This window comes from Homo sapiens, chromosome X (genome assembly GCF_000001405.40).
Source record: "Homo sapiens chromosome X, GRCh38.p14 Primary Assembly".
NCBI classification, from domain to species: Eukaryota; Metazoa; Chordata; class Mammalia; order Primates; family Hominidae; genus Homo; species Homo sapiens.
In genome coordinates, this window is record NC_000023.11 from 133,227,366 (window position 1) to 133,242,078 (window position 14,713).

The 14,713-nt window shown below is 42.1% G+C and overlaps 1 pseudogene, besides 1 other annotated feature; it reads right to left on the reverse strand.

Moving 5' to 3' along the window:
- Positions 8,356-9,181: an enhancer, noted in NCBI's record as "OCT4-NANOG hESC enhancer chrX:132369749-132370574 (GRCh37/hg19 assembly coordinates)". NCBI's record gives its function as "activates a minimal SCP1, AML or CMV promoter by ChIP-STARR-seq in naive H9 embryonic stem cells {active_cell/tissue: H9 hESC(naive)}" and the evidence as "EXISTENCE:reporter gene assay evidence [ECO:0000049][PMID:30033119]".
- Positions 11,292-11,451, reverse strand: RNU1-115P (RNA, U1 small nuclear 115, pseudogene; annotated as a pseudogene).

The following is a 14,713-nucleotide window of genomic DNA, read 5'->3' on the forward strand; positions in this document are numbered from 1 at the left end:
TGGAGTTCAAAAAAAGGCAGAACTAATCTCTGGTGGTAGATGGCAGAATGGAGGTTATCTTTGAGCATGGTGTGTTGACTGGATGGAGGGGCTGTGATTTCCTGGAATTATCACAATTCATGGAGCTTTAAGGTGGAATTTGAGCACTTGCCTGAATGCAAACTGGACCTCCATAAACAACAATTCAAATTTTTTCGAAAGGAACAAAAGGCATCATACTTGATATCTCCATCTTTGGCTCCTTTTCCCCTATTTGTCATTCCTCAGATCCATCATCTCATATTTTATCCTTTTCTGTGTTCTGAGTTCTAACAAAGACAGCATTTATTTATCCCAGTATGGTAGTGTGGGCTGTGCACCTGTATGTCTGCTTCACCAGGTTGTAAGTTCCTAGAGGACAGGGAGCATATCATAATCATCTTATCCCCAGTACATGGTAGATACCTGGTCCCACATCTTAGAGACCTTACTCTGGCCCTTCCCTAGATGTAGCCCTCATAGAAGAGGAATCCACTGGACCAAAAGAATGTGTCCAACCACAGTCCATGCCCTTCCTTTCTAGTGCATGCTCTGGCTGCCCAGGTCCTGGGAATTCTCTGGCTAAAGGGCCTTGTGCCTTCTTTCAGGGCCTGTGTGGGTCTCTATCCCCAGTCCATCCTCCCAAGGGTGGAACCCCTTGCACAGGAGGACCAGGGTGTTTACGTGCATGTGTGAGAGACCCCTCATAGTACAAGATGGAGTTGGAGTGGAAGAGAAGGGGGTCAGGAAGTCAGGCTGGGAGCTGGGAGCCTAGGACCACCCCATCTGTCCTGTCATGTTTTGGCATGAAACTCTGAGAAATTCAAGAATTTAAAACTTGATCCTGGTTTTCAGATCATTATAAGATATGCTTTGTTTGTAAAGGTAGAACAGAACACACTTTATTAAATGCTGTTAATTTATAACTTGCAAATCTTCAGACATATGGTAGGTGGAACTGAGTCCCTTTGTACATTTGCCCTGGGCCCCACATATATTATGGGCAGGCTTGTCTGACATGTAGTAGCTACTCAATACATAATTAGCTAAATGAATAGCATGGGCTGCTATTCTCATTTCAGATTTGCATTTCTATCACTGGCTCTAAATGTGATTGCATGAGTAAGTCCTATCCACTTATTCCAGAGTAATTCATGTCACTGATAATGACATATTAAAGATGACTACATTTTTGGTTAATCAAGCTAACCTGCCTATTCCCACCACCACCACCCAGATACACACAAACATCCATGATAAAAGTTTTGCTTTATTTTCTGTTTATCACCTTTAAGGATTGTTCTAGCCTAGAACTGGGTTTCTCATTCCTACTTTATGATCCTTTATGCAATCAATTGGCACATGTAAAGTCTGTGGAATTTTTTTCCTTTTACTTGCATCCAAGGGCTTTAAACAGATGGTTGCTGCTACAGATCTTCTAGCCTCTGAGCAAGGCACGCTCTCCTGGGTTTCTGATTGCTCCTAGGTGTGGGGCATGTGTGGAAAGCTTGCATTTTAATCTAGGTTTTAGAGGTGGTGAGAGGTATACCTTGGAAGAGAGGAAAAGGGAAGACGTTTGAAATAGAAGACCTGGAGTCAGTACAGATGCAGTAATAGAATGGACATGTTCTGGGCAAATGACAGGAAGCAGAAGAGCTTGATGAATGCAGAGGGTCTGTAAGGGCATCTGACTGGTTCACAGGCATGTCCCCAGCACCTAGCTCAATGCATAGCACGTAGTAGGTACACAATAAACACGAACTGTATGAAAAAATTAAATGAATCAGTGATGTGGGGAGTGCAGTTGCGAAAAAAAGAGACTGAGGTGTTTGTTTGGACTTGGTGCTAAAGGCAACGGGCAGTCACTGAAAATTCTTGAGCAGAAGAGTGACTTGGTAAATGAGGTGTTTTAGGAGGATGTATTTGACATAAAGGAGATACTAGAGGCAAGGAGTTCAGGAACAGAAGGTTTCAGTGATTTGCTCTGCTTTCCCTGGTGTCATGCATTGCTTCTATGATTTTCATCAAGTGAGATCTCAATGCTGGACGGAAGAAAGAGAGTGATTGTGAGTCATCATTCAGTTTTCCATGTACTAGATTTTGCATTAGCTCCTTATTGCAGGGCCTGGATTTGGAGCCATATGCCACATGACAGGTTTTTCATACTGAGTGAGTCATAGGACTTAATACTATGGAAGCAAAGAGCTGTCCATCAGAGTAATCAGACCCAATATACATAAAGGTGTTTATGACTCATTGCAAGGATTTTCTAGCCTGCAATATGAATCACCAAATGCGCTTCACGGCCCAGTGTCTTTTGTATCAGCACTGGATTTCTGAAGATACGTTTCCACAGGACTAATTTGCAAACACACAGCAAATTCCAGTAGGAATATTCCATGAATGCCTTAAATTGTCAAGAGCTCCCCACCCAATTTACTTGAACTAATAGAATTGGCACCCTTTGCAGTATTTGCACTGGAACATGCACACTGCTCCATCAAATGAGGTAGATACAAATGGATGTGTATTCTGGCAGCTCAGCAAAACCTGCATATTGCCCAGAACAGAGACAATGCAGCTCTAGGTCTCATAGCCCAGAGACCAGGTTAATAACAAGAGCAGCTACCATTTATAGGCACTTACTATATGCCAGGCCCCATGAAGCACTTTGTAGATGTTATCTAATTCCATCTTCACAGACACCCTGTTAGGTATGGGCTTTTATTATCCAATTTTGCAGAAAACAGATGAAAATATTAAGTAAATCAGAAAGACTAAGCTAGGACTAACACCCCAAATCTGACCAACCACCAGAAGGACTGCTGCTTACTGGCAACAAGAACCTGGGCATGTCAGTTAGTCTTCCTGAGCCTCAGTTTCCCCATCTATAAAAAGAGGATATTAAATAATAGTACCTACCTCACAGAGTTGTTGGAAAGATCAGATTAGCAGACTGCCTGGCACCATATAAACACTCAATACATGGTAACTAACATCAGTGTTATTTTTTCAGCTTTGTTGCAGTACAATTGACAAAAATTGTATTTAAGGTGCACGACTTGATTTTTTTTTTTTTTTTTTTTTGAGACAGGGTCTCACTCTGTCACCCAGACTGGAGTGTAGTGGCATGATCTTGGCTCACTGCAACCTCTGCCTCCCAGGCTCAAGCAATTCTCTGGCCTCAGCCTCCTGAGTAGCTGGGACGACAGACGTGTGCCACTACCACCCAGCTAATTTTTGTATTTTCAGCAGAGACAGGGTTTCACCATGTTAGCCAGACTGGTCTCAAACTCTTGACCTCGAATGATCCACTTGCCTCAGCCACCCAAAGTGCTGGGATTACAGGTATGAGCCACCGCGCCTGGCCCACAACTTGATGCTTTGATATATGTATACATTGGGAAGTGATCACCACGATTAAGCTAATTAACATATCCATCACCATACATAGTTATCACTTTCTTTTTTGTGTGATGAAAACACTAAAGATGTACCTTTTTAGCAAATTTCAAGTATACACTACTGTATTGTTATTATAGGCATGGTGTTGTACAGAAGATTTCTACAATTTATTCATCTAGCATAACTGAAATTCTATATCCATTGAACAAGAACTCCTCATTTTCCCCATGCCCCAGCCCCTGGCAACCACTATTATATTCTCTGCTTCTATGAGTTTGACTATTATAGATTCCATATACAAATGAGATCATTCAGTATTTGTCTTTATGTGTCTGGCCTATTTCACTTAACAGTGTCTTCCAGGTTCATCCATATTGTCAAAAATGGCAGGCTTTCCTTATTTTTTAAGGCCAAATAATATTCCATTTTATAAATATAAGAACACATCCCCCACTTTCTTTATTCATTCATCTGTCAAACACACTTCACCACTAGGCCTTATGGCTTCTACCTTCAGAAGTCATCAATAGATCCTGGCTCTGTCACCAAAGTTGGGCAGTTGCAAACCAGTTGGAACAAATACTAACAGTGCTAATGCAGATGAGTTACCTCCACTCTCTGGACTTTATTATCCTAGCCACCATCTTAAGAACTTGGATTTCCAAAATTATCTTCTGGAGAAAAGAAGAACAAGGCAGCGTCGGGCATGGTGGCTCACATCTGTAATCCCAGCACTTTGGGAGGCCGAGGCAGGAGGATCACCCGAGCCCAGGAGTTTGAGACCAGCCTGAGCAACAAACATAGTGAGACTCCCATCTCCACAAAAAATTTTAAAAAACTAGCCAGGCATGGTGATGTGCACCTGTGGTCACAGCTACTTGGGAGGCTAAGGTGGGAGGGCCACTTGAGCCCAGGAATAGAGGTGCAGTGAGCTGTGATTGTGCCACTGCACTCCAGCCTGGGTGACAGAGCAAGACCCCGAAAGAGAGAGACAGAGAGAGAGAGAAAGAGAAAGAAAGGAAGAAAGAAGAAAAGGAGAAAGGAAAGGAGAAGTAGGAGGAGGGAGAGAGAGAGAGAAAAAAAAAGAGAAGGAGGGAGGAAGGGAGGGAGGAAGGGAGGGAGGGAGGAAGGGAGGGAGGGAGGAATGAAGGAAGGAAGGAAGGAAGGAAGGAAGGAAGGAAGGAAGGAAGGAAGGAAGGAAGGAAACTAAAAGAATGATTTGAGTTAACCTAAGTAAAGAACAAAAGTAAGAACCCAGTCCATTCTCAGTACGCCATTGTAATTAAAAGCAAAGATCCAGCCCAGTCCAAGAGACTAGATTACACTGTTCTACATGAAAAAACAGCCAGAGCTGAGCTCACTGGATACAGCCACCACACCCACTGAGCCTGGAAGCCCACAAGAGAAACAACTTTATCAGGCCAACCAAAGTTATTTGGCCTAGGTGTCTGGGCCTTTGCAGGTATTTTTCTGCCTGAACTTGAAAAAGATGCCCTAGTCACCTCTGCTATCAAAGTGTACCCAAGTTGGAAAAGGCATCCATCTTCATATGGCAATTTGGAATCATTTGCATGAGCTAGAAGCACATTAAGTCTAAAACCAATTGCTACCTTAGGCCCAAGTTCTCAGGAAATCAGGGATACTATTATTTTATGAATTTGAGTTCACTTGTCATGTGGAATGTATAAATACATAGGATTTTAGAGAACAGATGTGTTACAAGTTATGACAACTCCAGATGATGGATCATGAATCATAATGGCAGAGAGCTAGCTAGCTAGCATGACTGATTTAGCATATGTTTTTCTCAGGAGTGGTCATCTCAAAACGGTTGGCATTTTGCTCTCTTGTTCTTTCTTTCTTCCTCTATGCCCCTGCATAGATTTTAAGGCCCAACCTGAGCCTCTCTACTTCCAGGATGCCTCTCCTGACCAACTGCTATAGTTTTCCTTATTTGCATAACTCATCTCACATTCACTACATTGTGCTATTTCTATACAACTGTCTAGGACTGCGATTAACACTAATCACCATTTTCTTAGCTGTTCATATATGTATGTCTTCTCACTTCTAGTTCTTAAAGACTGAGATTGTATAGTTCTACAAATTATGATTTATCCCGAATGTTTCCAAAAAGGCTTCAAGATGGCTGGGCCTGTTATCCTAGAATTATTTGTATCTTTCACAGAATTTAGCATAGTTATACCTAAAGAAAGTAAGTCATAAATGCTTGTTGAGTGGAAGAATGAAAAAAGGATGAGTCATTGATCCATAAAAATCCAGTATATGGATTTGGAACCTTATTCTCAGCCTTATACTGATAATCAAAGGAAGGCTTCTTCCCTTCTCTGGGTACTCTAAGCTAAACATGTATAGCACAGGCAGGCATGACCCAAAGGTCCACAGCACAGGAGAGCAGCAGCATTCAAGGATCCAGGAAGGACCATCAGATTTCACAATTACCTTCTTCTCCATGACTTTCAGTATGTAGGACTTTCAGATAAACATACAGATATGGACAACCATGTATCCCTTTAAGCAAACACCTGCATTTACTAAATAAATAAACCATCCTTGCTATTCTAAACACATTAAGAACTCTCCTGCCTTGGGGTCTTTGCACTTGCTCTTCCCTCTACAGGGAAAGCTCTTTTCTTCAAATCTCTCCATGACTCACTCTTACTTTCCTGTGTTTTCAGGTCTCAGCTCAATACACACTTCCTATGTGAGGTCTTCCCTGATCACTCAATGTCTCACTGTCCCAAAAGTCCCCATCCACCAACCCTGCTTGAATTTTTCTTTAGAACTTGTCGCCACTTGACTTCATGTACATTTACTGGCTTGTTTATTATTGACTGTCTCCCGCTTTTAGAGTGTAAGCTCCATGTGGTGGAGGGTGGTACTTTGTCTTTCTTGTTCACTGTATTCCCAACACTTAGCATAATTCTTGGAGTGGGTAATAGTAACAGCTCCAGTATAAGGAGCTATTAAATAATATGCTAAAACTTTACTGTGTTCCAGGCACGATGCTAAGAATTTTATACAAGGTATTTTATTTAATTCCTATAACAATCCTGTAAGGGAGTGCTTTTTGTTTGTTTGTTTGTTTTGAGGCAGGGTCTCTGTTTTCCAGGCTGAAGTGCAGTGGTGTGATCTCAGCACACTGCAACCTCTGCTTCCTGGGCTCAAGCAATCCTTCCACCTCAGCCTTGTGAGTAGCTAGGATGACAGGAGCAGGCCACCATGCCTGGCTAAGGGAGTGCTTTTAATATCCCCATTTTACAAATAAAGAAACTGAAGCTCATAGAAGTTAAGCAGTTAAGCAACTTTCTCAGCATCTTACAGCTAGTAAGCCGTGGCCTGACTATTCTGACCATGTACCATAAGTGGGTTACAGGAAGGGGATTGTGCAGGCATTGAAGATCAGATACACAGGATAGGCAAAGATCTAACTGAGCATGGGCAGTTAGGAGAGTGTTTATACAACTGGGAGAATGGATGTGGGGTGAGAGAGGACTGAGGAAGGGGATCATGAGTAGAACTAGGAAATGGCCATACTAGCGTTTGAATCCATGACCCTCTAGCACCAATGTCTGTGCTATAGACCACTATTTAAGAGTAATCAGCCTCTTACTAGAATGTCCTTTCCCTCCATCTCTGCCCACCTGTCAGGATCCCGCTCAAATGCAGCCTTCTCGATCATCAGTGATCATGTGTTCACTGATCCTTTCCCTCTCTAACAGGTAATGGGCTCTCTTGCTGCTACCAGGTGGGGAATATGGGAAAACATTAGAGTTGGGTGCAATGTAGTGTTGAAAACACCGGGATCAGTTAGCATGGGGCTGGATGTTGTAGAAAGGCCCCAGATTTGTACTTGGGGGTTTGCACTTGTTAGGTTGCCAATGTTCTGCAAATTCCAGTGCAAAGAAATAACAAAGTAACTCATACCCGTCTCCTGATTGGTCAGAGCAAGCTAAATGCAAACTACAAGTTGAAAACAAATATGGTAAACAACAACAAAGTACTGTATGGCAGCCACCTGGATTGATTCCAGTAACAAATTCTAACAGTACAGCAACCATCCTTTCCAGTCTTTTGCATATCCTTACCTCCTCCTAGGAAGTTCTTCCCTACTATCTGTGCCCGTGGAAATCTTACTCCACCTTCGACCTCCTCTCTGAAGCCTTTTCTAATTTCATGCTCTCCCACCCCCAACAGAGAGACTCAACAGAGGTGTTACTATCATATGGGGGACATGGGGAGGCCACACCATTTTTAAGTGGCAGAGGTGGGATGGAAGCCCTGGTCTACCTGCAAAATCCATACTCTTTCCATGTAGCATTTTGCTTGTTACCTGGCATTAAGGGCTGTGCACTCTAATTCCACATCAGTTGAGTCTGTGGAATGGGCAGCAAAATACACAGAAGAATGGATAACTATCTAGTGAGCATATGCAATTACAAGATACACTTAAGATCTCTTTCTCATGGCTATGGTCCCTCCCCACTTCATCCCTTTCCCTTTATCTTATAGTTGCTTAGCAGCAGCAATACCCACAATGTTCTCCTGGGGTTCAGCAAAAACAGAAAAGCTGGACAAGAAACAATGCTGTACAGGTGGGGGCTGTATAGGTAGGAGGTGTAACTATGGAGGCACCCTCCGGAACCCTTGGTAGGATGTCTTTGTCTAGGCCCAGGTTGAGTATATCTTACCTTTTGGGTGGTGTGCTGCAGGGACTGATCTTCCCAACTCTGACTATCCAAGACAGGGATTATTTCCTCTCCTTCTCCTTATTTTCTTTCTTTCTTTTCTTCTTCTTTTTTGGAACAGGGTCTCTCTGTTGCCCAGGCTGGAGTGCAGTGGTGTGATTATAGCTAACTGCAGCTTTGAACTCCTGGCCTCGAGCAATCTTCCCACCTCAGCCTCCCAAGTAGCTGGGACTACAGGCACACACCACCATGCCCACCTAATTTAAAAAAAAATTGTAGAAATGGGGTCTCACTACATTGCCCAGGCTTGTCTCAAACTCCTAGCCTCAAGCAATCCTCTCACCTTGGCCTCCCACAGTGTTGGGATTACAGGCATCAGCCACTGCACCCCGCCCAGAGTGACTTTCTAACTGCAAATCTGAATTCCGCCTCCAGTACCTACTAGACTAAAACTAGCCCCCTTCCTCTTTCCTGTTGCTCTGTCCATCTCCAAACCCAACCCCATGCCTCCGCATCCCTTTGATGTATTGTCTTGGCTCTTCTGGATACTACAAGGTGAATGGTCTGAATTTACTGACCTGATTATCCCCCCAGGGACTATACCCTCCCACATATGCACTGGCAGAAGAGGAAGCTGTTTGAGAGGAGAGGGCCATTTTGAAATTAAATAATAAAAGAGGCTTGAGAAACATGCAAGTTCCAGAGTAGAATTCTCTAGCCAGGGTTCTCAACATGTGGTCCATGGACCACCATCCTCAAAATTGCCTAAGGAGCTTGTTAAAAATATAGAATCTCAGGCCTCAAGCCCAGACCTACTGAATCTGCATTTTAACAAGCTCCCTAGTTGATTCCAGTATGCACTAAAGTTAGAGACCCATTTCCTTTATCGGCCTTAACTGCTTAAAACAGTGGTTCACAGACTTGGCCACAAATCAGAATAACATGGTGAGCTCAAGAAAAATATTGGCTCCTGGGTCCCACCCCTAACAATTGTGATTCAATTGGTCTGTGGCGGGACTGGACATTTGAGAATTTTAAAAGCTTCCCAGGTAATTTTAATGTGCAGCCATAGTTATAAACCAATGGTATAGAGGAAACACATGCAGCTCCATAGATAAGAGCTCCTCCATCCAAGGTTGTGTTTTCTGTGTGATTGTGTGTGTCTGTGTATGTGTGTTCAAAAATGTTAAAGTTTTTGCTGAGCCTGAGGTGTAAAGCAACATCTTCTGGGCAGATTTGGGAATTTCACTGGGGGTGACAACAGGCACTCCCAGGAAAAATATGCAGTGGGCTGACTGGTCCATTGGGAGAAATGATCATGTTGTATCACTCAGTTGCCCAATCACCCTCAAGGATTGGGGCCACAGGTGCATCCCTGGCATGGATGACCTGGCGGTGCCCACCCTTAGCACTGTGTCATTTGTACCATTAAAGTTGTACCCTCTCTGTTGGGCTCATTTGAGGCTCTCTTAAGATCTGGTGATTAATATAAAGGTGAAGATCCAAAGAGCTGACTTTTGCTTTTATCTGCACTGCCCTCCCCCCAAAGAAACAAGATTTGCCTTAAGTAGCCCCCAAGTTCATGGTTTCAGCCACATAAAAGGCTCCAGACCCATTTATGTGTCTCAGTTGTGATTGATGAATAGCCGTCCATCCTCCTGTGACTGGAGTTGCTGCTTGTTGTCGTACTACATAAAGCAATTGTATAAATTACCTCTCATCCAAGTCACAAAATATGTTTGCCAAAATGATTTCTTCTAAAATTGTAAAAGTGAAAATAGAGTACACAGAGAGAAATTGAGTTTGCTCCAAGGGGCTATGAATTCACCATTAAGAAAGCCTCGAAAAGAGATTAGCAATCCATCTGGTGTGTTTGCACATCGTTTAGTGCCATTTTGGGGCATTTCTGAAAATGTCAGTCACGGTGGGGAGGAAGAGAAGGAGGTTCCATTGGCCATTAAGATGATATACCAAGAGGCTGTGGTTATCAGGGCATGCAGTGGGGCAGCGCTTCACCAGCTCTGACCTCAGCTCAGTGAGAATTGCAAAAGCTCCAAAGTTTAATAAAAATCAGTGGCTAGATTCCAGTGCCAGGGGGTTTGATAAAGCATTGTCATAAGCTTCAGGCCATGTTCTTTGAACAAAACAACTCTCTATATTCTTGAATATCCCCCCCAACACACACACACACACACAGACACACACAGTCTTCTTCACCAAAGAAAACTGACAAATGGACAAACTCATATTTTCCAAGCCAATCTGGGAAAGATCTAAGCTAAATATGGGACATCTTAGTTAAGTATTTTGCCGAAAAGTCTCACTCTTTAGCAGTCTTAAAATTAAGACAGACTGGGCACAGTGGCTCATGCCTGTAATCCCAGCAATTTAGGAGACTGAGGCAGGAGGATCACTTGAGGCCAGGAGTTCCATACCAGCTTGGGCAACATAGTGAGACTCCATCTCTATAAAAAAAATTAAAAATGATCTGTGCATGGTGGCACATACCTGTAATCCTAGCTACTTATGAAGCCAGGGTGGGAGGGTCACTTGAGCCCAGGAGTTCAAGGCTACAGTGAACCATGACTACACCATTGCACTCCAGCCTGGGCGACAGAGTGAGACCCTGTCTCTAAAACAAGTAAACAACAACAACAGCAACAAAAACAAAGATATAAATATAATCAGAACATTGTACACAAATCATGTTGTGACATAGTTACATTTTATATAAAATAATTCTTCTTTAGCAGGCTGTGTATCTTCTATGACCTTCTCTTTTACTGTTATTAGAAAATTATACTCCCAGCATTACATTTATATGTAGTAAGACAGACTACACTTTCTTCCACCTCATTACATCTATTTGTAGTAAGACAGACTACACTTTTTTCCACCTCTTGGTGAAAGGAATTTTGTCTACTCCCTATGCTTACCTTGTCCCAAAAGCTGAAAGTCTGGATTCTGGGGCTATTTTCCAAAATGACAGAGGATATCAAAGATCATGCAGAATAGATCAAAGTAAGTGTTCATAATGTAAATGCCTATTTCCTGGAAGAGGCACACTCTGAATGAGACAAGGAGATAAAGCCCTAGAGATCTGCCACGCCACTGAGAAATGTCAAATGTGCTCGTCTATTTCCTTTTTCTTTTTCCCCTGGGGAAAGTGTGAATGAAAGTCCTACTATCACAAATTATGCAGTCAAGTTTTTCACATTTGGGGAAATTGCAGGGGTCAACACATCTGAGTGCAATGGATAAGGCTGGCCATGGAAAAACCACCTTCGTGATCATGGTATTTCCACTGCCAGGTAAGTGTCTCAGATGATTCTTAATCCAGAGTTCATTACCTTATTTTCTGTTTCGATCGGAATTGGAAAGCCATCATCAGGTTTGAGAGAAACTCTACAACAGTATAATGTAAAGTCAGTGAGGGAAGGGAGTTTTGTCTGTTTTGTTCACCAGTGTATCTCCTTAGTATAGCTAAGTGTATTAGTCCATTCTCATGCTGCTAACTGGGTAATTTGTAAAGGAAAGAGATTTAATGGACTTACAGTTTAGCGTGACTGGAAAGGCCTCAGGAAACTTATAATCGTGGTGGAAAGGGGGAAGCAGACATACCCTTCTTCACATGGCAGCAGGAAGAGAGGTGACAAGCAAAAGGGGGAAAAGCCCCTTATAAAACCATCAGATCTCGTGAGAACTCACTATCATGAGAATAGCATGGAGGTAACTGCCCCCATGATTCAGTTACCTCCCACCAGGTTCCTCCCATGACAGGTGGGGATTATGAGAATTACAATTCAAGATAAGATTTGGGTGGGGAAACAGCCAAACCATATCACTAAGTATCTAGCAAATAGTAAGAACTCAATAAATATTTTCTAATCTTGTTGTTGAAACTGTAAAACAAACTGAGTTTAAAATCTAGGCAGCCACTGTAACCATACAGTCACCTGTTCCTAAAGTCAATAGAAAAAAGAACAGACCTTCTCCAACTCTATCCTGTGTCCCCTGGCCTTGGCCCCGTTTATTCCTCTACCTCTGCTACAAATCCAGGTTGTGTTCATGTGGGTTGTGAATAAGAGCTCCATATCCCAGTCCTGAGCTGGCCACCATGACAGGGTGGCATGGAGGGGAAGGTACTTACTGGGACAGGACAACTGCTGGCAGAGCAGATGGGAAGGAAGGACAGTCTGCATCCCAGGGCTACTCACAGCTCTGGTAGGCACCATGCTTCTAGCCTCACAAAAGGCAACTCCAATAGGCTGATGCACACATGCAGAGGCTTCTCTCCCTCCCTGGCCACCAGCACAAGAGCTTTTCAGTTCCCAGAGCTGTGGAACAATTGGGAAACTCTAGGCAGGATCCACATGACACTGAGTACCACAGTCAAAATAACTGGGGTCCACCAGAAAGAAGCCAGTTAACAGATTGGTCAAGACATAGTCAGTCTATTTTATACATTTTGATAATTCTAGATGTTGAAGAAGATTCCCTTCTTAGAATATTGCCTTGTCAATAACAGCCTGATTATGTATTGACCAGAAATTAATTTCGCCAGCATAAAAGCATAGGAATAATTTAGAAAATGATTTTTTTTTTGAGACAGGGTCTCACTCTGTTTCCCAGGCTGGAGTGTAGTGGCACGATCACAGCTCACTGCAGCCTCGACCTCCCAGGCTCAGGTGATTCTCCTACCTCAGTCCCCTAAGTGGCTGGGACTATACGCATACACCACCACGCCTGGCTAATGTTTGTATTTTTTGGTAAAGACGGGGTTTCACCGTGTTGGACAGGCTGGTCTCGAACTCCTGGGCTCAAGTGATCCTCCCACCTCAGCCTCCCAAAATGCTGGGATTGCAGGCATGAGCCACTGCATCTGGACTAGGAAATGATTTGTATAAACTAAAAGCTATTGCAAAGTTCATGAAAGAAGAACAAGTGAAAGATAACAAAACAGAAAATTTGGGGGCTGAGAAAGCACCCCTAATCCCATGATCCTAAAAAGTTGTTTTTTTATTTTTACATTTTCCCTACCTCCAAGCCCCTATCTCTATTCATACTTTAATTTTATATATGGCATTTTAAAAATCATATATTATGCCTTGTTTACACAAGTAGTACATGTTCATAACAAAAACTTAATACAGAAAAATTAATACAGATAAGAACAATTATACAATATTATAAATAGTACTTATTTATAATAATAAATATTTAATGTATTAATACAGATAAATGGTCTACAATCCTATTAATCAGAGATAACCATTGTTAACATTTTGGTTAGCCACTGTTTAGTGTGTACTTCTTAATCTAACTATATAAGTATAGACAAAGATATTTTACCTACGCACAAAGGTGCACACACTTGTGGCCAAATGCATACAGACCCGAAGTTTCCTATTTAAAAAAGTACCTTTTTGGTTTAATGATAGTTTGTGAACACATTTCCATATTAATAAATACATCATAGTAAGATGATACCTTATAACCTTTCCCAGCCTTATAACTCCAGAATTATTATTTTATAATCCAATGATCAGGGATGCTGCATTGAAAATATATTCATTACTCAAATTATGACCCATTACCCATTCTGTATCCTGCACAGGACATGGGGAAGTACAGATATATCTACCATTTATTAAACCTGCTTAGTATGTACCATGCCTTGTGCCATTGTCACATTACAAATGTCTCTCACAACAACCCTGTGATATGGGTACCATTGTTCCTAGTGGATGAAGAAACTGAGAGAAGCTCTGAATGGGTATTTCAACCATTCTCAGACCTAGAAAAAGTAGAAGGGCTCCACACTGAAGACACATCTGTCTGACTTTCAAGCCCACTCTTGTTCTCTGTGGCACTCATTTGGGAGTTGAGCTGTGGTAGTTAGGATATGATTAGAGAATGGACTAGAGCAGAGTAGTAAGTGGGGACAGCAAGACAAACAAAGAGTCTCAACTTGTGTTATATCAATGATAAGTCCCATGGGCTATGAGAAACTGCAGAGATCCCAACTGGGGGAGTAGTCACAGAAAGTTTCATGGGAAGGTGGTGTCTTAGTCAATTCTTACGTTGCTATAAAGAACTATGTGAGACTGGGTAATTTTTGAAGAAAAGAGGTTTAATTGACTCATGGTTCTGCAGGCTGTACAGAAAGCATGGCTGGGGAGGCCTCAGGAAACTTACAATCATGGTGTATTATGTATTGACCAGAAATGAATTTGACCAGCATAAAAGCATAGGAATAATTTAGAATATATATATATGTGTGTGTGTATGTATATATATATATGTATGTGTATATATATATGTATGTGTATATATATATGTATGTGTATATATATGTATGTGTATATATATATGTATGTGTATATATATATGTATGTGTATATATATATGTATGTGTGTATATATATATATATATATATATAGAGAGAGAGAGAGAGAGAGAGAGAGAGATAGGGTCTCGCTCTGTCATCCAGAAAACAGGGAAGCAGGCATGTCCCTACATTTTTGGAGCAGGAGGAAGAGAGCGAAGGGGGAGGTGCTACATACCTTTAAACAGCCAG